General features: G+C 41.3%; 1 protein-coding gene across 14 annotated transcripts in view; it reads right to left on the minus strand.

Annotated features, from left to right (window-relative positions):
• Positions 1–735: 735 nt before the first annotated feature.
• Positions 736–24,015, minus strand: part of PLD5 (phospholipase D family member 5) — a 447,561-nt gene continuing 424,281 nt past the window's right edge. For all 14 annotated transcript variants that reach the window (XM_011544115.3, XM_011544116.3, NM_001320272.2 and 11 more), the window contains 2 exons: positions 18,418–18,532; positions 736–7,860 (listed from right to left, as the gene is read on the minus strand). In XM_011544115.3, the coding sequence (XP_011542417.1) occupies positions 7,604–7,860; positions 18,418–18,532 (372 nt within the window). In that variant the 3' untranslated portion in view covers positions 736–7,603. The remainder of the gene's footprint in view (positions 7,861–18,417; positions 18,533–24,015) is intronic.

The raw sequence follows: 24,015 nt of genomic DNA on the forward strand, positions 1-24,015 counted from the left end.
TATCTAACACACCACCACCAAAGTAAATAAATAATCTTAAAAATCATCTAACTCTAGACCTTCTGATATTATTAATCTCTACTTAAATTGAGCTGGGAGCCATGCAGGATAAATGTGTCTTGATACTACCCCCACTTCCTCCATTTCCTCCTATGACATTTCAATAGACCCACCTTCCTCCATCAGACCTCCTAGGAGTGATTTCACTTGTGTCTTCTACACATTTCTGTAAACTGCCTATTTACACCAAATATTTAGCATACTATTAGCAACTTCTGCATTTGTTAAGTCGATCATTAGACTGTGTATTTTAAAACATTATCTAAATTTATAACATCTGTCTCTACTTAACTCTGTGTATTCTACACCTCATTTTCCTCATATAGAAAAATAGTGGGTCTGGGCTTCAAGAGTTCTAATTCCGCTCCCCAGCTCTAACAGTCTCTATGTCTATCATGTAGTCATTTCCTAACTTTCCATGCTCAATGTTTCAAACACACTTTATGAGTCTAACACATTTGATTACTATTGATTTGATATTTAACCCTTATGGCATGGATCCACATGCTTCACCATGGAGATCTCCGACATGAGTCTCTATCCGACCCAACAAGGTATACTACAGTGTTTTCTTTTTTTCTCCTCTTTTCCTTCCAAGCTACTTAAAAACGAGGATAGCTTTCACTTTATCGTGTTAGGCCCTTCCAGGTTTCAAAGAACAGACACACAGGTTACTTCAGTTAATGTGAGTTTATTTATGTCAATACATAAGAAAGGAAGAAAAAAAAAAAGCAACCCAGGAACTACAAAGTCCAGACTCATTGTTCAGGAGTCAAGTATTTCTCCAGTAAGCTAAGAGCAGAATGGTGAATCAACAAGACCTCAAATTGTCTTGACTGCAGAAGTAACTGCTGTCACTGTTCTCAGAGTCACCATTACGGTGACTGTGTCTATTCTGGCTGTGCTTCCTATTCATCATTTACTTTCTGGTGTTCAAACTCCCTAAAAGAGGGCCGTGATTGGTGGGGCCAGGTACCATCAAACAAGAATACCACTGCTAGGTACACTTTCATTCCTTAGGCCGCCCTCTGGCCTGAAAATGAGTCTCTTTGGGTCGGGTACTGAACCTTGGTACAATCAGCTGTGGCCAGTGTAGAGAGCTCACATGGCAGAAAACATGGTTTTGCTCCTGCAGGAGCTGTGGAGGTAGGGTCTCTCCAAGACACCAGGAAAACTATAGATCCACCTATGAAATATGAATGAGAGATAGCTTTATCACTGGAGACAAATTGGCCTTTGTTTCTCAATGACATTTTCCTACAGAGGATTTTCAAAGTGCTTTATCAGTACCATAACTTTGCTGAAAATATGGTGTTGCCTTCTTGTTATTACATTTTCTAGGATGTTGCCTTTAATAACTCACCCCTTTTAAAGAAGCAGCTAATCTTCACTTTTAACTATTAAGTGAAATTGTAGATTACGCTCTGATTTGAATGTTATTGGATCATATTTTCTGAGTTGTCTTTAAAGATCTTCATCCTCTATTTATATTGGAAAGTAACATATAATTTCAACGTTTTTAATCCTGGGAATTGAGGTCATATTTCCAAGATTGGTTGTGCATTTGTGTGGGAAAACTCTAAATTAGAAACCATCTGTGTTTGTCTTGCAAGGGGCTCAGAATGTCTCATCTGCTTTTCAGAATTTTCCGCCCATGGGGAATAGGAGAGTCCATAAGGGAATTAATAATTTTTTAATGTCTGAGCCAAAAGGAATGGGTTTGAGAGCCAGATATCCACTTCATAAAAAGAGATCTTTTCTCCTTACTAATTTATCTCTCATATAAAAATAAATCACAAATAATCTTCACCCTTACTATGATTTAATTGGACTCCTTGTACATGACTGTCATCGCACTGTTAGCCCATTTTTTTAAAAAAAAACACGAAATTGTAGCATTCAGAAACTGCCAATAAAATCAGAATACTATTGACTATTGCAGACTCAAAGTTCACTTTTAAGCCTTTGCTAACCTCTCCAATGATAGTTTTTTTTTTAAAAGTATGCCTCTCAGATTGATTCTCTTTATGAAAACAGCACCCACCTTATTACATGCTGTGCATATCCTTTCAGAGATAAGACTGCCTCAAATCCAAATTACTTTAGTAAATCAACAAAATTTTATCCTGTGTGGGTCTTGAGAAAGGAACCATATAAAGCACTCCAAATTGTTTGGCTCAAGTAGGTTTTCAGCTTCTCACCTTGAGTCTGGAGCCTCAGACCACTCGGCCGTCCTGACACTCTAGGCTGTCAACTTCTATGCCCAAATGGGAAGGGAATTTACACGTTGGGTGAGCTGGTTGAGATGGCTGTTAAAGTATGCTCTACAGCTCAATATGGGTTTGCTGAGCAGACACTAGGTTCTCTAGTGGGGTCTCTATGATTGTTTCTTTTTCTCACTAAAAATTAATGTACTCAGAATGAACATTTATTGGAAAGGTTTTTTTTTTTTTTTTTTTTTTTTTTTTAGAGAAAGAGATAGGTATAGTGTTTCAAAGATGCCTCCTTGTGTGAATATACAAAACAGTGGGCCCATTGGACCAGTCGCATCTACCTTCTTCATAATTTACCACAGTACAGCTTGGTTACTGATGAGAGACTGATTTGTTTCTGAGATCAGCTTGAGGAGAAAAAGAAATGCCTCATCTCACAGTATGAAAAAGCCATCTAATATTTACTTCTGAAAAAACTGAGCATCTGGTTATACGAAAGGTTTGATAATTTTAATGATTCCCCCAAATTCAACCCTTTATCAAACCCATTTATTTAGGGATCTTAAGGTTAATAATATAGATATGTCCAGGTACAAGTTTATCCTATTTACATAAAGGAACATTAAAAATTCAAGATACCTTTTGTAACAGAATTAGAAGTTTAGTAGTTGAACATAGCAAAAGAAAATGTGTAATAGTCTATTAAATGTAACTTTTTTTTTTCAAATTGCCAAAAGAAGCGTTAATGACCAGTGAAGTTTTAGAACCTTGTAAATACAAGACTGCTAATGGGTCAAAAATAAGAAAATTTCATTTTTACATCTTCAAGAAACTTCTGAGGAATACCCATTGAGTCACTGTATAAAGCAGCATCTTCATAATTCAGCCAAAGATGGGAATTCTCTCAAATGAGAAAGACAGGCTGCGAACTGGGGTTGATGTCAGGGCTATTCAAAAGCCTCCGTCCATTTAAGTCAATAAGGTGAAAATGGTAAGCAGCTATTTTGTTAACAACATATAAAAGGAAAATGAAAGATGCTAATCCAAATCAAATTGGAAAATTTTTTACCTTGGGCCAAATGGAAGTTATATTAATTTTGCCTTTAAAAGGTGTATAATAAAGCACACCAGTTCATTGGGAACAAGTACAGAAAGATAAAAGAATGAAACATTTGTCCACAATATATGGGGCTGTTCGTAAGGACTGAGTTTGAATAAACAATAACAAAGTATCTTTCATTATAGGAAGTGGCTGTTCTATGCAAGTAATGGCAGCGTTTTACATTCCTAAAGTTAAAAATAATGAAATGAATTTTGGACACAGAAACACACACCAGTGGTCATACGTGTGGAAAAAAAAAAAAGTTAATTGTAGGATAGAATTCCTGAGACAGATAGACCCTGGATCTGATCTTATCAAGAAATTCTTATGGTCTTTTCTCCCCCCTTGGAATTTAGTTCAATAAAAGTTCCTAAAAACAAACAGAATGAATCAGAGTCACTGAGTATAGCCACAGGCTGGTGGGAAATGAGCTTCTATCCATCCCAGGTTCATCGAGGCACTTAAACCATTAACTGCATTTCAAAAAAAATCCCCCACATTTTTCAAAGGGTGAGATCAACCAAAAATGTGATCAGACCCCTCTCACCAAGAACCATTCAGACATGAGACAAACAGTAGCACAGAGAGGGCCCGAATGGTGCCCAGAGTTACACAGGTGCAAAGTGTATCCGCAGACCTTTTGTTTCTTTGTCTGCTTTGACTTGTTAAAGACGCTGGTTTTCATTCTCTGTGCCACAGGACCTAGGAAGTCTGCAAAGCATCTCTTTACAGCATTCTTTTAAGTCAGTGGGGACATTTTCAGCATTCCTTGTTTCTATCAGGTTCAGGTACCTAAAGCTTGTTGTTTACAAAGCATGGATGTCATCTCACTCTTCCACTTCCTCTCCAATGGTTGGACAAGCAGAGATTCAATTATTTGATAGGCTAGTGGCCAGTGACAATGCAGTGGAGGCCCACAGTATTGATCTTTGATGGTGTGTGCAATGATTTGATTTGGCGGGGGGGTGGATAAAGGTGATGGGGCTTGGGAAGAGAACAGGCAGCATAAAAACTGTCACTGCTCAAATGGAAGTTTTCAACTGGTAGGCCCATCGGAAGGTCATTTGAATTCCACAGGAGAGAGAAGTGTTCTCATAGAATAAGTCATTGTTTAAAATCAACACTTGAGGATACATAAGGCACTAAGTTAGTGTTAGTGGTACTGAAATCCAAGATATAGTCTCTAATTGTGTTTGTTTTCCTTTTTGCCTCTTGGGAAATAAATCCAGGAATGTTAATGGGGAGTAGTCACCCTGCTCCTCATAATTTCTGGCATGGACATCCACCAGAGGGTGTCAAATTAACCTGTTTTTGTTTTGCATTCTTTCCCTCCTGGAAAGTAATTCCTGGGATATTTAGGGGTGGGGGGGAATGGAGGTTGATAGTTTGTTTAGCACAGAAACAAGTCTAAAAGAAAGGAAAGCCGTCTCTAGAGGGATAGCTAAAGCATCCAAATGAAAGAAAGTTCTGCAGAATGAAATGTTCTCTTGGGAGACATGAACCCATTTCTGACACTCTTGGTATGGGGGTCACTTTTCTGGCTGCCACAGAAGGACAGTGTGGCCCCATGGAGTCACCACCGCTGCCCAGACTCCCCTGATTAGGGGCTTGCTGTGTCTGGTAGGCATCTGCTGCTGCTGCTTGGCAGAAAAGCCTGGGATGCGGCTCCTGGTGATAGCATTTTGCCAGGCCTCAAAAGGAAATGGCAATGATGGTCATTCCGTAATGGATGACATTCTCTTCTCGTAGCACATACAGCAGATAGTGACAGTGAAGGGGCCCCATGACACCAAGCCTATGAGTGTCCCATGGCTGTGGATGAATACTTCAGGGGACAACTTGAGAACTAACAAATTTTAGTTTATTTGGTTTTTTTTTCTCCCTTTAGATGTCCTTTTTAAAACCAACTCAGGTCGCTTTTGTTTGTCTGAGTGTGAACTTGGTAGGTTTGTCTCCACTCCTATTCTGATTCCTTCTTTCCTTTCTGTATTTATTTATTTTTAGAGGCAGGATCTTGCTATGCTACCCAGGCTGGTCTCAAACTCTTGGCCTCAAGCAATCCTCCTGCCTTGGCCTTCCAAAGCGCTGGGATGACAGGCGTGAGCCACCGCACCCAGGCTGCTTTCTTTTTAAAATCATCACCAAAGCCACGTTTACTTTATTGGGATAACTGGCAGAGTTATAACTCCCAACTCAAATATGGATTGTGTATATGGTAAATATTTAGAGTCTTAGGGACTGGCTATTATTGATGAAGAATTTCAGTGAGAATCTCCCAATTAGTCATAAAACCATGCTACCCTTAAAAATACAGCTTCCTTCCAGCTCTCTTGATCAACTGGTTAAATATCTAGTGAAGCAATACTTGCAAATAACAAGAAGGGAAGTAATGTGATCACTCACTGGATAACCAACATAGCCATTCTATATTAAGTAAATCCATTGGATAAGATTCACAGGCTCCTCGATCACTCTTTTGGCATTTAGAAATCAAGTCTCCAGAAATGAAAAAGAATAACTGAGTGTTTCCTTGCTCTGAAAATACATGTATATTATGGTCCTGAAGAACCAGCTCTAGCACGACGTCTAGTTTTGTGTTGATGTTATTCATGCCAAAGCAGCCCAACGCAATGTTCTATTGAAATGTTGACAATCCAGATCTCCACCAGGGTTTCTGTGGGGCTGTGCTCTTTTCATCCACATTTGCAACAGGAAGCTGTGAATTTGTTTTCCTTTGTGGATTCTGGGGGAGGACCTGGTGTTGATTCCATCAAGATATGACAAAGTTTATTTCAAGAAAAAGATTATATATTATAATGCTTAGCATTTATATAGGTTCTTTTGATTTCAAAACAAGTTATAAATATTTCCTACCGTGACAACATCCTTGCGAGGTAGGTGAGTTATTACCGTCTACATTACCAAGAGAAGCCCGAGGCCAAGCAGTGAGGGGCTCCGCTTTGAGTCACAGAGTCGGGAACAACATTGGAACTGGACATCCCGGCCACCTGCTGTGGGCTCTGAAGAGGCCATGCCTCTCCCTAGTGTAGCAATGGTCTCCATTAATACAGGGGTATATATTGTATAGATATAAAACAACAACACACAATTACGTTATAGAACAATAATTCAATATTTCTGCTTCTTAGTAAAATATGTTAAGCACAGTATTTAAATTGCATTTCTCTGAAAAGCATTTGGTATATTAAATAGCAGAAGGTATATTAAATAGCTCTAGAAACGTTTGCTGGCATACTCTTAACAGCATAATGATTCTAAAGAAATTAAAATCCACTGACGCATAGAGATTTTTTCCTTTATAATACCATAAACTGAACAAAAATGTGAAAAACTACTTTATTCCCAAAATGCAGACTTGATAGCTTGCTGGATATTAGCAGGTGGCTACATAATTTTTCTGAGCTTGAGAGAAAGGATACATATTGCTGACTGTGATTTTTTTTAAATACCAATTCGGTAGGGGAAAAAAGGATTCAGTTGAAAGGTGAAAATGAAAGACTGCTATTTCCACTTAGTATCCATTCTGAAAAATTTGTATGTTTTCAAAAGATGTTATCATAGTTAGAAGTAATGTTGAGGTGAATACAGAAAATGCTATATAATAGGAACATTTTGTGAGAAGAGAAAATGATACCAAATAAAACTTATGGTATAAGAAGAAAATGAGCAAGACAGAAAAGGATATTTTTCAAGGGTGTTGAAGGCTGGCATGAGATGTAAGCTATTCATGCTTAGCTGACTGTGTAGGTCTTGGAGACGATTTACAAGAATAAACACTTGGTTTTATCAGTCTCTTCTCCAAGGCAAAATCCTCACCTTCCTCTCTAAATCAACAGTTCTCAGAATGGTGTTAAAGAGCCCACCTCATGCTAAGCTTCCTAACAACTGACCGGGTAGGTCAGCAGAAAAAGTTCTAAAACTAGAAAGGAGCAGGAATGAAAGTCTTAAAATTTGTATGCAAACGTAAAAACTAACTTCTACGCCAGAATGACATTCTCTGTCAGAGGTAACAAATACAAAAGTCTTAATTTTAGTGTACACGACGCTAAGATATTGTTAGATAGGTATTATGTGTTGTTCAGAGAATATTTTTTATAAGTGTGCTTTTTCCCTAAAAAAAGAGACATATTAAAGTGTTTTTTCTCTCCTCAAGTCCTTTATGTATAAATATGAAATACAGAGCTGTCCTGTCAGTTTCTTCATCATGTTATACGTTCCGGGGATCCTTTCCGCCTGTGTCGTCTGTGGCAGTTTTGTTGGAGAGGGGTTTGAGTTTGAACAGGCTTGAGCAGTTCGGCTGTTTGGTTGGCTGTAAGGTTTTGGCATACGGTGAATACCAGTCCCTTTCAAACACATCTTTAAGTTGCTTAATGATGCTTCTGTTGTTCCTCACATCTGCCTGGTTGATAACAAGGCCCGTGCCAGCATTCTGAGTGAAATCATTCCCTACCCAATCAAAATTTCCTGCAAACAAACAAAGAAATAATGTTGAGGAGTTAGAGTCCACTGGGAACATACCCAATATAATGAAATTCAGAGTGGATTCTATTAAAAATCATCAACATCCAGGAATAACAACGGAGAGGCTGAATTGTGTTGACAGCTCCGAAAAAAAAATCCAAGAAGCCTTACATATGGCATATTAATATTTGCATATTATTTTGGCATTTTCTTCAGCTTTGCTCCGGTGGAAACTCAAAACAAGGAATCTGCTGTTCTTTCTTGTAAATGTTATTTCTTATTGACATTCACAAGCCACACTAAATACAGCAACATTTAAAATATATAGGGATTCATTTAAAAATCCTGTGAGTAATTACTACCTTCTCAAAGAGACAACATCTAATCCATGTGAACAAATGAGGGATTCTAATTATAAGTCCCTGAAGCTTTCACATCAAAGAAAACGCTGAAGCCAGAGGAGACTCAGTTCCTAACAAACACTCGATTGGACTAGAAATCATTTCCCAGACCCAGGATCCGGCCCCTTGGCCCCAGGAAGTGGGGCAGGTGCTATGAGAACAGCCTCTCAAGTATGACTGCCCGTGTTATGTGGTGTATTCGTGTTTTTAGGGCTGCCATAGCAAAGTTCCACAAATTGGGTGGCTGAAACTACAGAAATGTATTGTCTCACGGTTCTGGAGACAAAATCCAGGTGTTGGGAGGGTTGATTCCTTCTGAGAACTGTGGGGAGGGATCTGTTCCAGACCTTTATCCGTGGCTTGTAGATGGACATTTTCTATTTTCTTTTTATTTATGCTTTTTGGTTCCTTTTTTTAATTTTTAAATAGAGATGGGGTCTTGCTGTGTTGCTCAGGCTGGTCTTGAACTCCTGGGTTCAAGCGATCCCCCCACCTCAGCCTCCCAATATGCTAGGATTACAGGCACGAGCCACTGTGCCCGACATCTCTATGACATTTTCTGTCTCTTCATATTGTCTTCCCTCTATGCATGTCTCTGTCCAAATTTCCCCCCTTTTACAAGGACACCGGTCATATTAGATTAGGGGCCACACTAATGATCTCATTTTAACTTGACGATTTCTCTAAAGATCCTGTCTCTCAATAGAGTTACATTCTGAGGTACTGGGGGTTAGGACTTCAACATATGAATTTTGGAGGGACACGATTCAGCTCATGCAAAGGAGTAAGCCTGGGATCTGCCCTAGAAGAGACTAATCATGTGTATGCCACTCCCATGTAGTCCATCTTCAAGGTGTGGGGGAAGCAGCAGCCTTGGAGAGCTAGAGTAATGCCATTTTCAGTTCAGCTCCATCTTGAGACTAACAAGGCATGTTCCTTGCCAGTCACAACCATGGTCATAGATGTTTACAGTTGAGAAAACAGCCTAAAGATACCCCAAAGGATACAGTCCTACAGCAGTGGAAAGTCCAGATGTCCCAATACCCATAACAGTATGTGCTTTCGGGATAGCTATAGTTATGCTTCGATGTACTTTCACACTAGAATGTCATTACACCAAGAATGTTTTCTTTAAATCGATAGAATAATAAATTTTGTCATGCTGTCAGCTCACTCACACATAGACACAGCTTAGCTTAGCTTTTACATAGATAAGACTCCTATATAAGAAAAACACACCACATCCCTCCACTTGCTTTCTGTGGACGCCCTACTCTGTAGCTGAGTAGCTTTATTCTTCTTTTTCTTTTCTTTTCTTTTTTTCTTTTTTTTTTTTTTTGAGATAGTCTTGCTCTGTCGCCCAGGCTGGAATGCGGTGGTACAATCTTGGCTCACTGCAACCTCTGCCTCCTGGGTTCAAGCAATTCTCTGCTTCAGCCTCCTGAGTAACTGGGATTACAGGAGCCCACCACAATGCCCCACTAATTTTTTGTATTTTTAGTAGAGACGGGGTTTCACCATTTTGGCCAGGCTGGTCTCGAACTCCTGACCTCAAGTGATCCACCCATCTCGGCCTCCTAAAGTGCTGGGATTACAAGCGTGAGCCACTGTGCCGGGCCTGATTTATTTATTTTTAGAGGCAGGATCTCTCTCTGTTGCCCAGGCTAGAGTGCAGGGACCTGACCATAGCTCATTGTAGCCTTGAACTCTTGAGCTCAAGCGATTCTCCCACCTCAGCCTCCTAAGTAGCTGTGAGTACAGGTGCAACCACCGGAACCAGCTTCTACTTGGTATTTATATACATTATTTATATGGTTGGTGGGACTTACTTCCACTTTACAGCTGAGGAGTGGGAGGCTCAAAGGGGTGAATAAATTTGCCTAATCACATGGTTAATCACTGGTGCACCCAGGTCTGCCAGACTGTATGATAAACCAGGAATTATTCTCATTAAAAAATATTTAGCCATGTCAAGGTGGACAAAATTATCTTCGAAATTACCACTAGGCCAGGTCTGATCTAAGCTCCCAGTTTTGTTATCTTCTTTGGGTAAGAGCTGATTCCACAAAGGGAACTGGCAGGCTTTAGGTGGAGATATTGGCCTTCCGTCCCCTCTGCAGCAACTCAGGTTTCGCTGCAGAAATCACTAAGACGCTGAGATCATCTGTCTCCCTGGGCACCCCTGGCCCAAGGGCCCGCAGTCATCTGTGGGAGAAGCTGCTGGAAGAAAGCACATCTGGGAGACAGCCAGTTTCTGTTCCTTTGCAGCTTTTGTATTTTGGTCTCTGCTCTGTATTCTGGAGCCCTCGAACATACCGAGTCCCTTTTCCATTTGGCACCCCTGAGAACATCAGAAGGTGGTTTCTTGTCTCTCATTTTACTCCTAAAGTTTATTCCTCAGAGCCTAAGAACACCAAGTCCCTAAACCAAATATCAGCAGAGAGAGGGACCTGCCCCCTTTTGCTTTATCCTTCTCCCCTCATCCCAACCCATCATCTGCCCCCTCAATAAACAGCACAACGGTACTATCAGTGGCTTCATGATAGACATAGCTTTGGACGAATTTATTTCTGATATAAATTAGTGAACTGTCTTCCAAGTGGTACATAATACTGTGTTGGTGTCGCTGCCCAGAGACCCCCGTGGCCAAGGTGGCGTTCCTGATCGTGTGCTCTTAGACACGTGACTATGTGCAGAGGCTGCAGTTCTGTGCAAATGCTCAGTGCCAGGTAAATACAGGACTGGATCTCTAAACGGGATTAGTAGCTCCCGTGGGTTGAGTGTTGCTCAGGTGTCCCCTGCCAGGCAGTATCTTCTATTCATTCCGTAAGCAAAAGGCTCCTGTGGTCTTGCATGCCTTTTAAGGGCTTTTGGATATGACACTAAACTCTCATCCCCACAGCTGTTGCCAGGCACTGTAACAAGGGCAGTCAATATATCATCTCATTACATTATTTCTTCAATCTTCACTGCCGTCCTCTGAGGTGGTAATACAAACGCCATCGTATTGATGAGGAAATGAAGGCACAGAAGGGTTAAGTAATTTGTCCAAAGCGGGAATAGAAAAATATCAGAGCTGAGGTTCAAAGCCAGGTCTGACCCCGGGGTCCACCCTTTACTTGTACTCCATGTTGCCTCTGATCCTAAAGGCATCCTTTGTGCTAAGAATTGTGTGCTTCACCCTGGACTACAATGTCGACCCCCGAGGTCAGGAGCATCATAGCCACATTGAGAATTCTGCTACGTGCATGTGCAGACCACTCTCTCTGAAGGAAATATACATGGAAATATGCTTCGGGGGCAGCCTGGGGTGGGGGGAAAATGATGGAGAGAGGTGACAAGATTTTGAAGACTTATTCTATGAAATATAGCTTTTTTTTTCCTTCAAATTCAATGGATTGAGCCAAGATCCAGCATCTTTACTGATGCTCAAAAGCTTTAATTAGGCTCATCTCAGGAATCATGGCTCTGGAAAGCTTTCCACAGGCCGATAAAGGAATTCCTGCACCTTTGTGATCATGCTCTTCTACCTTTCACTTCCTGACCGTCTGGCTTGACTTCAAAATCACATATATGCTTCAGTGTTTTTTTAATTGGGATGCAATTTCATCCAGCTTTTTTTTTTTGAGACTACCACTGCAGCTTCCAAAAATGCATGCTGAGGCCCCAGTTGCCAGGAGAACTGTAGTGTCACCCAGAGGGACATGATGATGAGGTTGCAAGAGAGCTCGCTGGGAAGGTGCATGGGCCTTCAGGGGACTTTTGAGTGCCTTCCATCCACCCGCTACCCCCTTGTCAGTCCTCCAATCCTTCAAACCATCTTCTAGACAAGTTTGCAGAGCTTGACTCAAATGTACCCTGGAGATTTCAAAATTAGAGAGATGACACTGTTTGGGGATTCTTCTGTAAGTCTTGTGAAAACTTAGTGGAGCAGTGATTCCATGCAAGGTCCACTGTGGATTTTTCTCAACTCTGCGTTCTCAGCAAGTATCTCAGTGATGACTTAGGAGATCAGAACATGCTGATAATTATTTAAATTATTGATGGATTTTTTTTTCTTCTAGGGTTGAGTATTTTTATACTAGAACTGTGCTTCAGTCTAGGGAATTAACATTTTGCTAAAATATTATGTGTAAAATTCACTCATTTAAAAATGTATTATAGAGGGAAGAAGAAAGGAGAGAGCCAGGAATCAATATTGCCTAAAGATATGGATAGATCGGAGACAGTGTTAGGAGCTCTTCATACACTATCTTGTTTAAGCCTCATAGCACCACTGAAGGGTGGGTGCTATTATCCCCAGTTTACAGATTAGAAAATAGAGGCTTACAGAGATTATGTGACTTTCTACCATTTTTCAGCTTGTAAGTGTCAGTGCTGGAATTCAAATATAGGTTTGTCTCACTCTAAAATATATATTTATTATTTTTTAATATTTTATTTTATCAAGAACAGAGTCTCGCTCTGTTGCCCAGGCTGGAGTGCAGTGGCAATCTCGGCTCACTGCAACCTCCACCTCCCAGGTTCAAGCGATCCTCCTGCCTCAGCCTCCTGTGTACCTGGGACTACAGGTGCCCGCCACCACGCCTGGCTAATATTTTGTATTTTTAGTAGAGACGGGGTTTCACATTGTTACCAGGATGGTCTCTATCTCCTGACCTTGTGATCCACCCACCTCAGCTTCCCAAAGCGCTGGAATTATAGGCGTGAGCCATCGCGTCCGGCATATTTATTTATTTAGAGATGGAGTCTTACTCTGTCTTCCCCAGGCTGGAGTGCACTGATGGGATCTTGGCTTACTGCAGCCTCTGTCTCCCGGGTTCAAGCGATTCTCCTGTCTCAGCCTCCTGAGTAGCTGGGAGGACAGGCATGTGCCACGATACCCAGCTAATTTTGTATTTTTAGTACAGACAAGGTTTCACCATGTTGGCCAGGCTGGTCTCCAACTCCTGACCTCAGGTGATCCACCTGCCTCAGACTCCCAAAGTGCTGGGATTATAGGTGTGAGCCACCACGCCCGGCCTAAAACATTTAATTCATCAAAAGTACATTTTTTAAAAATTCCTGGTTTCAGGTATTTATTTTTTTAATTTTAATTTTTAAGCCCTCATCTCCTTTTTAAAAAACATTCCCACAAAAGAACATTTAGATACAGGTACAAGTCACTGCTGAATTGACACACAACATCTTACTTTAAGTAAACTCCACATGTAAAATATCCAGATTTGAGTCCCTCAATCCTGTCGTGCCTAAAACCTGAACCATCCCTGGGTTCCCTGATGATTAAGCCAAAAGTTCCCATTTTTATTAAATGATTTTGGGGTTGTTTTTAATCACTTGCAGCTGATTTCATATTACTCTCCATAAGTTGGTGCACATGAGAAAAATCAAAATAATCACGTTTTGGGTCACTGAGAGTGACAACAGGAATGAAATAATATTCTCTCTTTTTTTTTCTTTTTTTTGAGACAGAGGACTCTCACTCTGTCACCCAGGCTGGAGTGCAGTGGCACCATCTCGGCTCACTGCAAGCTCCGCCTCCCGAGTTCATGCCATTCTCCTGCCTCAGCCTCCCAAGTAGCTGGGAATACAGGTGCCCGCCACCACACCCAGCTAATTCTTTGTATTTTTAGTAGAGATGGGGTTTCACCGTGTTAGCCAGGATGGTCTCAATCTCTTGACTTCGTGATCCGCCTGCCTTGGCCTCCCAAAGTGCTGGGATTACAGGCGTGAGCCACTGCACCCAGTCAATATTCTCATATTGGAGCACCACCAGAAGGTCAGAAGTATCGATCGATCGAAAGATCGATCTCTCTCTCTCTCTTTCCCTTTCTCTTTTTCTTTCCCTCTTGAGATGGAGTCTTGCTCTGCCACCCAGGCTGGAGTGCAATGGCGCAATCTTGGTTCACCGCAACCTCTGCCTCCTGGACTCAAGCGATTCCCCTGCCTCAGCCTCCCTAGTAGCTGGGATTACAGGCATATGCCACCGTACCCAGCTAATTTTTGTATTTTTAGTAGAGACGGGGTTTCACCATGTTGCCCAGGCTGGTCTTGAACTCCTGGCCTCAGGTGATCCACCTGCCTCAACCTCCCAAAGTGCTGGGATTACAAGGGTGAGCCACCATACCCAGCCTATTTAGTTTTTTGGTTGTTTGTTTGTTTTAAGTCTTTTTTGTTTTTTTTTTTTTTTAGTCTGCTAAACTGAAAATATTTTACTGTCTGGACTTTTATTTTTTATTTTTATTTTTATTATATTTTAAGTTTTAGGGTACATGTGCACAACGTGCAGGTTTGTTACATATGTATACATGTGCCATGTTGGTGTGCTGCACCCATTAACTCATCATTTAACATTAGGTATATCTCCTAACGCTATCCCTCCTCCTTCCCCCTCCCCCTCCCCACAACAGCCCCCGGTGTGTGATGTTCCCCTTCCTGTGTCTGTGTGTTCTCATTTTTCAATTCCCACCTATGAGTGAGAACATGCGGTGTTTGGTTTTTTGTCCTTGTGATAGTTTGCTGAGAATGATGGTTTCCAGCTTCATCCATGTCCCTACAAAGGACATGAACTCATCATTTTTTATGGCTGCATAGCATTCCACGGTGTATATGTGCCACATTTTCTTAATCCAGTCTATCATTGTTGGACATTTGGGTTGGTTCCAAGTCTTTGCTATTGTGAATAGTGCCACAATAAACATACGTGTGCATGTGTCTTTATAGAAGCATGATTTATAATCCTTTGGGTATATACCCAGTAATAGGATGGCTGGGTCAAATGGTATTTCTAGTTCTAGATCCTTGAGGAATCGCCACACTGAGTTCCACAATGGTTGAACTAGTTTACAGTCCCACCAACAGTGTAAAAGTGTTCCTATTTCTCCACATCCTCTCCAGCACCTGTTGTTTCCTGACTTTTTAATGATTGCCATTCTAACTGGGGTGAGATGGTATCTCATTGTGGTTTTGATTTGCATTTCTCTGATGGCCAGTGAGGATGAGCATTTTTTCATGTGTCTTTTGGCTGCATAAACGTCTTCTTTTGAGAAGTGTCTGTTCATATCCTTTGCCCACTTGTTGATGGGGTTGTTTTTTTCTCGTAAATTTGTTTGAGTTCTTTGTAGATTCTGGATATTAGCCCTTTGTCAGATGAGTAGATTGCAAAAATTTTCTCCCATTCTGTAGGTTGCCTATTCACTCTGATGGTAGTTTCTTTTGCTGTGCAGAAGCTCTTTAGTTAAATTAGATCCCATTTGTCAATTTTGGCATTTGTTGCCATTGCTTTTGGTGTTTTAGACATGAAGTCCTTGCCCATGCCTATGTCCTGAATGGTATTGCCTAGGTTTTCTTCTAGGGTTTTTGTGGTTTTAGGTCTAACATTTAAATCTTTAATCCATCTTGAATTGATTTTTGTATAAGGTGTAAGGAAGGGATCCAGTTTCAGCTTTCTACATATGGCTAGCCAGTTTTCCCAGCACCATTTATTAAATAGGGAATCCTTTCCCCATTTCTTGTTTTTGTCAGGTTTGTCAAAGATCCTCTTCTCAAGGAGTATCTTTGTGGCATTCTCTGTATTTCCTGAATTTGAATGTTGGCCTGCCTTGCTAGATTGGGGAAGTTCTCCTGGATAATATCCTGCAGAGTGTTTTCCAACTTGGTTCCATTCTCCCCGTCACTTTCAGGTACACCAATCAGACGTAGATTTGGTCTTTTCACATAGTCCTGTATTTCTTGGAGGCTTTGTTCGTTTCTTTTTATTCTTTTTTCTCTAAACTTCTCTTCTCGCTTCATTTCATTCATCTGATCTTCCATCACTGATACCCTTCTTCCAGTTGATCGAATCGGCTACTGAGGCTTGTGCATTCGTCACGTAGTTCTCATGCCGTGGTTTTCAGCTCCATCAGATCCTTTAAGGACTTCTCTGCATCGGTTATTGTAGTTAGCCATTCATCTAATCTTTTTTCAAGGTTTTTAACTCCTTTGCCATGGGTTCGAACTTCCTACTTTAGCTTGGAGTAGTTTGATCGTCTGAAGCCTTCTTCTCTCAACTCGTCAAAGTCATTCTCCATCCAGCTTTGTTCCATTGCTGGTGAGGAGCTGCGTTCCTTTGGAGGAGGAGAGGTGCTCTGATTTTTAGAATTTTCAGTTTTTCTGCTCTGTTTTTTCCCCATCTTCATGGTTTTATCTACGTTTGGTCTTTGATGATGGTGACGTACAGATGGGGTTTTGGTGTGGATGTCCTTTCTGTTTGTTAGTTTTCCTTCTGCCAGTCAGGACCCTGAGCTGCAAGTCTGTTGGAGTTTGCTGGAGGTCCACTCCAGACCCTGTTTGCCTGGGTATCAGCAGTGGAGGCTGCAGAACAGCAGATATTGGTGAACAGCAAAGGTTGCTGCCTGATCGTTCCTCTGGAAGTTTTGTCTCAGAGGAGTACCCCACCGTGTGAGGTGTCAGTCTGCCCCTACTGGGGGGTGCCTCCCAGTTAGGCTACTTGGGGGTCAGGGACCCACTTGAGGAGGCAGTCTGTCCATTCTCAGATCTCAGTCTGTGTGCTGGGAGAACCACCACTCTCTTCAAAGCTGTCAGACAGGGACATTTTTTTGGCCTATTTAGTTTTTTATTTTTATTTTTTTTGAGGAGGAGTCCCACCTTGTCACCCTGGCTGGAGTGCAGTGGCATGATCTCGGCTCACTGCAACCTCTGCATTCCAGATTCAAGCAATTCTCCCTGCCTTGGCCTCCCATGTAGCTGGGATTACAGACACCCACCACCATGTCCAGCAAATTTTTTTGGTATTTTTTAGTAACGACAGGTTTTCACCATGTTGGCCAAGCTGGTCTTGAACTCCTGACCTCAGGTGATCCACCTGCCTCAGCCTCCCAAAGTGGCTGGGATTACCGTGTGAACCACTGCACCCAGCCAGATATATATCTTTAAAATATTCCAATACTCTCTTCTAATGTGATATTGAAAATGGAAAAAGAATACGTTTACACTGAGTCTGGGAGTTAGTGACTACCCACACGGCCAGTGGCAGTGTCTGCAGGGGCGGGAGGCAGTGGGTGAGATGACTGGGGGCCCTGGATGCCAGACCCGGCTCCTTCCCCCTAACATCTGTATTTCTCCAAGTCTTAGGGTCCAAGTTTCCTCATTTCTAAACTGCAGATGATAAAAGCTGCCCTCCCTATTGGTGATGTTGCGAAGAGAAATGAATCAAGTGCTTTACAAAGTTAAAAGGGTACATTTTTTACTCACTGAATTTGAAAAAAAGAAATTGATACAGATTTTCTATTTCTATATTCCATGAACATGTTTCTTTCTGCCTTAAGACTGCTGCTTCATCTGTACAATGTAATCACTACACTGCTGTTTTTGGATTTATGTACCTTCTGATAGATCGTTTTAACTGCCTGTGATGGTACTAGTTAAAAGGTTATCATGGACTCATATATATCATGGAAAACTAGAATAGGTTTGATGTATTAATAATTACACCAGTGTAGAATGATTCCAGCCCTTGGGTCTCTGTTTAACCTTAATAATAAAAATAGCTAGCATTAATTGGGTATTATCTATGTGCTAGGTACTTTGCACATTTTGTCTCTTCTACACTTCACCCAATGAAGTAGTTACTATTATTAACCCCATCTTACAGATGAGAAAACTGAGGTTTGAAGAGCTCAAGTTAAATTGTACAGAGTGGGACATTTGGAAGATAGCAGGGATGGGATAATTGGCTGGGAATTGGGAGTTTCGGCACTGAACCACTCCACTGCCTGCCTTCCCATCACTCATGTCAGGCTGGCTTGTGGTGCTGTGGGCAGGGGGATGACACTGCTCTTTCCTGTGCCAGGACTCACCTTTGATGAGCCATTCTCATCCTTGCCTGTACAATGAGGCAAATGGACCAGAAAATTTCTGGAAAACATTTATGGAAAGGCATCTTCTATGTCTTCTAGTACATAAATCAGGCCATGGAAGAGATATTTGAATGATGAGCTCCCTGTCCTTACCGTCCTGTTTCCTCATCTCCATTTCCCCTCATTCACCAGCAGTGGTTCCCAAGGCCTTGCTTCCTCACCAGGGGATACCGTGGAGCACAGCTGGACTACCACTCCCTGGGTGACCCCCACCCAAGGAGCTTCACAGCCCTGACACCTACCAATATAAGCTGCTCCATCTGTCACCATGTACTTGTTGCGATTTAACCTAGGAAAGGTGTGATTCTTTTGTTCTTTTGTAGCACAAGCATTCTCTCTTTCCAGATCAAAAAATTTCTGTAAGAAAAAAAAAAAGGGGGCAGGTAAATAAGAGGAACGTTTCTGGTCTTGTCCAAGAGCACAAAAGAATGCATTATCCAAATGTCAACAATAGACCTCAAGTTGGGTTATGAAAGCCATAATCTTATTACCTCATATAGATGAAGCTATTTTTGTTCTCAAATCTAAATAGGCAACAAGAGAAAATTAGCGTGCTCAACTAGGTATATAATTAACACTTTTAAGCTACAAAATGAACACAAAATTCGTTTTCTTTTTTCAGCAGGATAAGGGCCAGAAGGTTGTTTAATTCTCATTGTCTTATTCATCGGGGTGCCAGCTTTGAAGCATGCCTCAGGGTGCTTTCTGCCAAGCATGGCAATGAACCGAATGAGTATTCTTACATGTTGCATACATTATGTCAATGACTAGCTGATTAAACTGGGGATTTGCCAAGGTCAAAAGAGACTTTGCCATAGGAACATAGGAACAAATACTTTTCTGTCTGAACACCTAAGTCTAGGAGCTCTTTTGATAGACAACTCAAAAAAAAAAAATCACAACTTCAAACCGTGAATTCTGAATTTCAACTTTTATTGACTCAAAAGGTGACATTCCAGTTCACCCAAGGCCAGGAATGGGGCAGCTGAAAGAAGGGGGATGACTGCAGGAATGGCCAGGCCATGCCTTAGGGGTCTGTGAAATTGGCTAAATTTTCAGATGAGGCTTAAACTGTGGCTAAGCTCATGGAACTCCATGACTCAGCTCACTGGAAGACACTAGTCAAAGGTGAAAATATCAGGTATCCCCTATATGGGAAAATGTTGAGTATTTTCAGAACTGCGTGGAACCTTGTGGAATGTCTTACAGCTATAGAATCGTGTATTTAAAGGAAAGAAGAGGCAGGGAGGAAAATGGCATGATACCTAGAAAAGGAGATGTCATTTACAGTTTTAAAACTGTAAGTGTTCACATTTGGTTTGAGGAAATAATGAGAGTTGGACTTCCCCCTCCCCTAGCGTGGTAGAACGGTGATAAACTAGATGATCAGTAAGATCCCTTCTAGCCACAAAAGTTCTATTTTGATTTTTTGTAAAACCCTTGAGGTCCACAGAGCAGAGATCAAAATCTACTACTTAAAAACTGTCTATTCCACAACACAGGTAAACACATTATCTGTGTGGCTCTCAGGGCCCTATCACCACGGTTATAGACAATGATACCTGGTTCACCCAGTGTCCTCAGTTCCTGTCTTCTGTAAAATCTGCATTGGTTTCTGGACTCTTCAGACTGACTTAATAACCTGTGAATGTTCTTAAGTCACAGTTTTATGTTCATGAGGTCACATGAATGTTGAGGGCATCACCATCAATAACAGCCAGAAGTCACCTCGCTTGGACATAATATCACAACACGTGGCCACACGTGTGACTGTTTCCTTTTGGGAAAGATATTATTGTAGAATCAAGATGGATTTCAAAAAGAATAAAATATACATCTTGAGTTAAGTCAAGGATAGAGTCACAGCTTGAGGCTTTAGTAAAAACCCATTTGCTCTAGAAAGTCAAAGACGGCCCTTAAGAGGGGAAACAGCTTTCTCTGGAAGACTAAAATGACAGCAGAAATGAGGTTTTATTCACTGGTATTATTCGACACCTAATACACTGTGGGTGACAGCAAAGACATTTCAAAAGGGGTTTATTAATTTGTTAAAAAAAACTAAAAAATCAGCTGACTGGGAGAATTCTGTGCTTCACAGTCTTTTCTCTTTTCATGAGTCCCTCATGGAGATAAGCCCACATCAGGGCTGGAGGTGGTTGGAGGTGGGGGTGCCCACTCCTTTAAGGACAGAGATTCCCTACCTAGTTCCCAGGCCATGTGCTTTGTCAGTGCTCCCAGGCTCCTGGAGACATGCTCTATGCAAGATTCCAATCCTCACTTTTCTTGTAAGAGTTTATCACCCATCTGTGTTCTAGACATTAGGGCCATAAGCTTCTTGCCCATCTAGGCTTGTATTGATGCTTAGAAGTGTATGGCCTCTGTTTTATAAAATGGCTATATGTGAACTACTAATGTTTAGTTTATTAAAAAAAAAGTGACCATCTATGATCAAAAACATCAAAAAGATGAAGCTGATTAAGTACTGTAAAGGTTGCAATGATGGATGCTACTTTCCTTGTAATTTTTTGTAATTCTTAAATGAGAGCAGTTGACATTTCACGCCCTAGAAGTTTTGACTGCAGGTGCCCTAGTGGCAGGTGTGCTGTGGGGGTCAAGAAACAGTGGGTGGACATGGACCCGTGACTTGGCCAGAGGAGAATTTGGAAAAGGAGATTGGAGCAAATGTACCATATGGTATACCAAAAGTCCCAGACTGTCCTCTCTGTTCCTGCTAGACCTCACGAATAACAGGGGCTCCTCTGAGTGCGAGTGTACTGACCTCCAGAGTGCATGACTTCACTGGGCAGCCTCTTCACCCATGGTCACCCTTCCCCAGCGCACACCTGCAGAAAATGGCTAACCACACCTTGGACTCAGGCACTGTCCTGGGTTCTGCCCTGTCCCCTCACTGGCTTGCAGAATCTTTCTTATTACTCTGCCTTTATTAGCTCCCTTCTTTGACTTCATTTGTTCATGCATGCACTCATTCAACATGTATGTTTTGAAAACTCCACCAAGCGTCATGTGAGCCATTGGTGAACTAGACACCTGTTCTTTTTCTCACTTCCTTTTTGCTGGAGCTCCGTATGCCACTGTAATTATCTGGAAAATGCTGTTTCGGAGCTGAATCAATCCCAAGAGTTCTCTTGTCTGTGAAAAGGTATTGAACACAATTAGACTCCATTCTCCTGTGTCTCTGACTTCCTAGGACTGCACCTGCTTCTCCTCTGATACTGGGCACCTGACTCCAAACCCAGGTTGGTGCCCTGATCCAACTCCTGGTTGTTTCATTTATTTGAAAATCTGGCCTGGAAAACAGATCTGTGGTAGTAATCACAGTCATGTTTTTATTTCCAATACTTACACTGATTTGTGACTACACAGATATGTGCATGATTTCCTCAGTTTACAAAAACCAGTTAAGTAGAGATCAGAATTTCTATTATCCATCAATGTTACCAGACTATTCGGGAGATTAAGATGAAAACACAGGTGAGAAGCATTGTTTTTGGAAATTTACAGTAAATTCTAAATTTTTATGTATTTAAATTGTTAATAATTTCATGAAAAATAAAATTTAAAATATCTTAATGGCATGAATGAGTTACAAACATTTTATCTGATTCTTTTTTTGATCCTCAGGGATATAATTCGGATGTGTAGCTTCTCATATCTTTGAGCAGATGCAGTATATGATGTTTTTGTTTTTGCTTCGAGACAGTCTTGTTCTGTCCCCAGGCTGGAGTGCAGTGGCAATCATAGGTCACTGCAGCCTTGAACTCCTAGGCTAAAGTGATCCTCTTGCCTCTACCTCCTGAGTCCTGAGTCCCTAGGACTACAGATATGCACCACCACACCTGGCTAGTTTTTGCTTTTTTTTTTTTTTTTTGTAGAAATAGGGTCTTGCCATGTTGTCCAGGCTGGTCTTGAACTCTTGGCCTCAAGTGATCCACTTGTCTTGGCCTCCCAAAGTGTTGGGATTACAAGTGTGAGCCACTGCACCTTGGTGTATGTGATGTTTCTTAATATAGATAAGAAAGATTAAAAAGGACTTTGTAACTGCAAGGATCTCTTCTACATGCAGACGCCATGGAGACATGTTTAAGAGCTCAGGTTCTGGAGTTCAAAAGACTTGGGTTTGAGTCTTGCCCCATTACTCACTAGTGTCCTTGAGAGAGGTTATTTAATGTATGCTTCAGTTCCCATGTCTATAAAATAGGGAAAGTACCTGTTTCACTGGGTAATTGTAAATATTATTATCTCTTAAGTTTTTTTGTAGAGATGGGGGTCTCCCTACTTTGCCCAGGCAGGTCTTGAACTTGTGGCCTCAGATGAACTTCCTGCCTTGGACTCCCAAAACACTGGGACTACAGGCATAAGCCACATGTCTGGCTGTGTGGTTATGAATATTATATAATCTATAGAAGGCATTTAATTCAGTGCCTGGATAACTGTATATACTCATGAATATTCATGAATCTAACACATTCCTTCACTTATTTAAAAAGTATTAAGTACTTACTAAGTTCAGGCAATGTGAAGTGGTTCTGTCATAACAGCAACACAACAAAAACTTAATAAACGATGTAGCATTGGTTTACTCAATGGACAGCAGGCAGCAAGTAAATTGGTATTGTAGGGTGGAGAGATGAAAACTCATGTTATACAGTGACAAACTATTTGGTAAAAACATAGCCAGCATTTATTTGGAAGGAATACCAAGTACCACTGAACCTTTGGCTTATAGGGCTTCGGCTATAGGGACTGGGGAAATGAATTGTTTGTACTGTGTGTTGGTTTTTTTTTTTTTCCTTCAGAGACAGGGTCTTGCTCTGTCTCCCGGGCTGGAATGCAGTGGTGCAATCTCGGCTCACTGCAACCTCTGCCTCCCAGGTTCAGGTAATGCTTGTGCCTCAGCCTCCCAAGTAGCTAGGATTACAGGTGTGCACCACCACGCCCAGCTAATTTTTGTATTTTTACTAGAGATGGGGTTTCACCATGTTGTCCAGACTGGTCTTGAACTCCTGGCCTCAAGTGATTCACCTGCCTTGGCCTCCCAAAGTGCTGGGATTATAGGCGTGAGCCACTGTGCCTGGCCTGTTAGTTGTGCTTTTAAAAAGCTTATTAGAGGAGATAAATAGGCTCAGGGAAGGAAGGGCTAGTTTATAAATGATATAAATGATATAGAGAACAGATCACCCAGAAATTTGGTATTTCACAGGGTTGAAAAAGCTGATTGTACCTAAAGCTCAATAATAGAAAATAAGTATGAAAAATCCTTTAAGTGGCCAGTTAAGACTGAGCCCTGTAGAAAAGATGAAATAATTGGTGTAATAATAATAGGTGTAATCTTCCCACCTGTGTCTGATGGTTTTGCATAAACTCTATCATTAGAGAGAGAGAAGTCTATGAACTAGAAAGCATAATTCATCAAGTTAGGGAATTATGTACAACAAGAAACTCTGGACATGGCTATGGATACATGGAAATAACTAGAAACAAGTACATCAGAACCTATTACATTTCTGAGAAACTTGCATTGCCCAAGAAACCAACCAGCTCATGCTAGGACCCCAAACTCCTTTAACTGTTCATGCCTTAAAACAACCTTGGGTCCTTGGTTTGAACCAGCAGGAGTATGAGGACTTCACAGTACCTGCCCAGAAGAGTTTTATAATTGCTGTGGACCAGGAACTGCCATGGGCCTCCAAGCCTTCCCTTTCTAATGGCAGTTTTCCTTGTGCGTATCCTGTTTCTGTACTCAGGGAGGGAGGTAACATTAACCTGATGTTAGGTATTTTTTGGTGTGTGGTGGGGAATTGTTACGGTTTTATTTTAGT

This window comes from Homo sapiens, chromosome 1 (assembly GCF_000001405.40).
Source record: "Homo sapiens chromosome 1, GRCh38.p14 Primary Assembly".
In the NCBI taxonomy this organism is placed as follows: domain Eukaryota; kingdom Metazoa; phylum Chordata; class Mammalia; order Primates; family Hominidae; genus Homo; species Homo sapiens.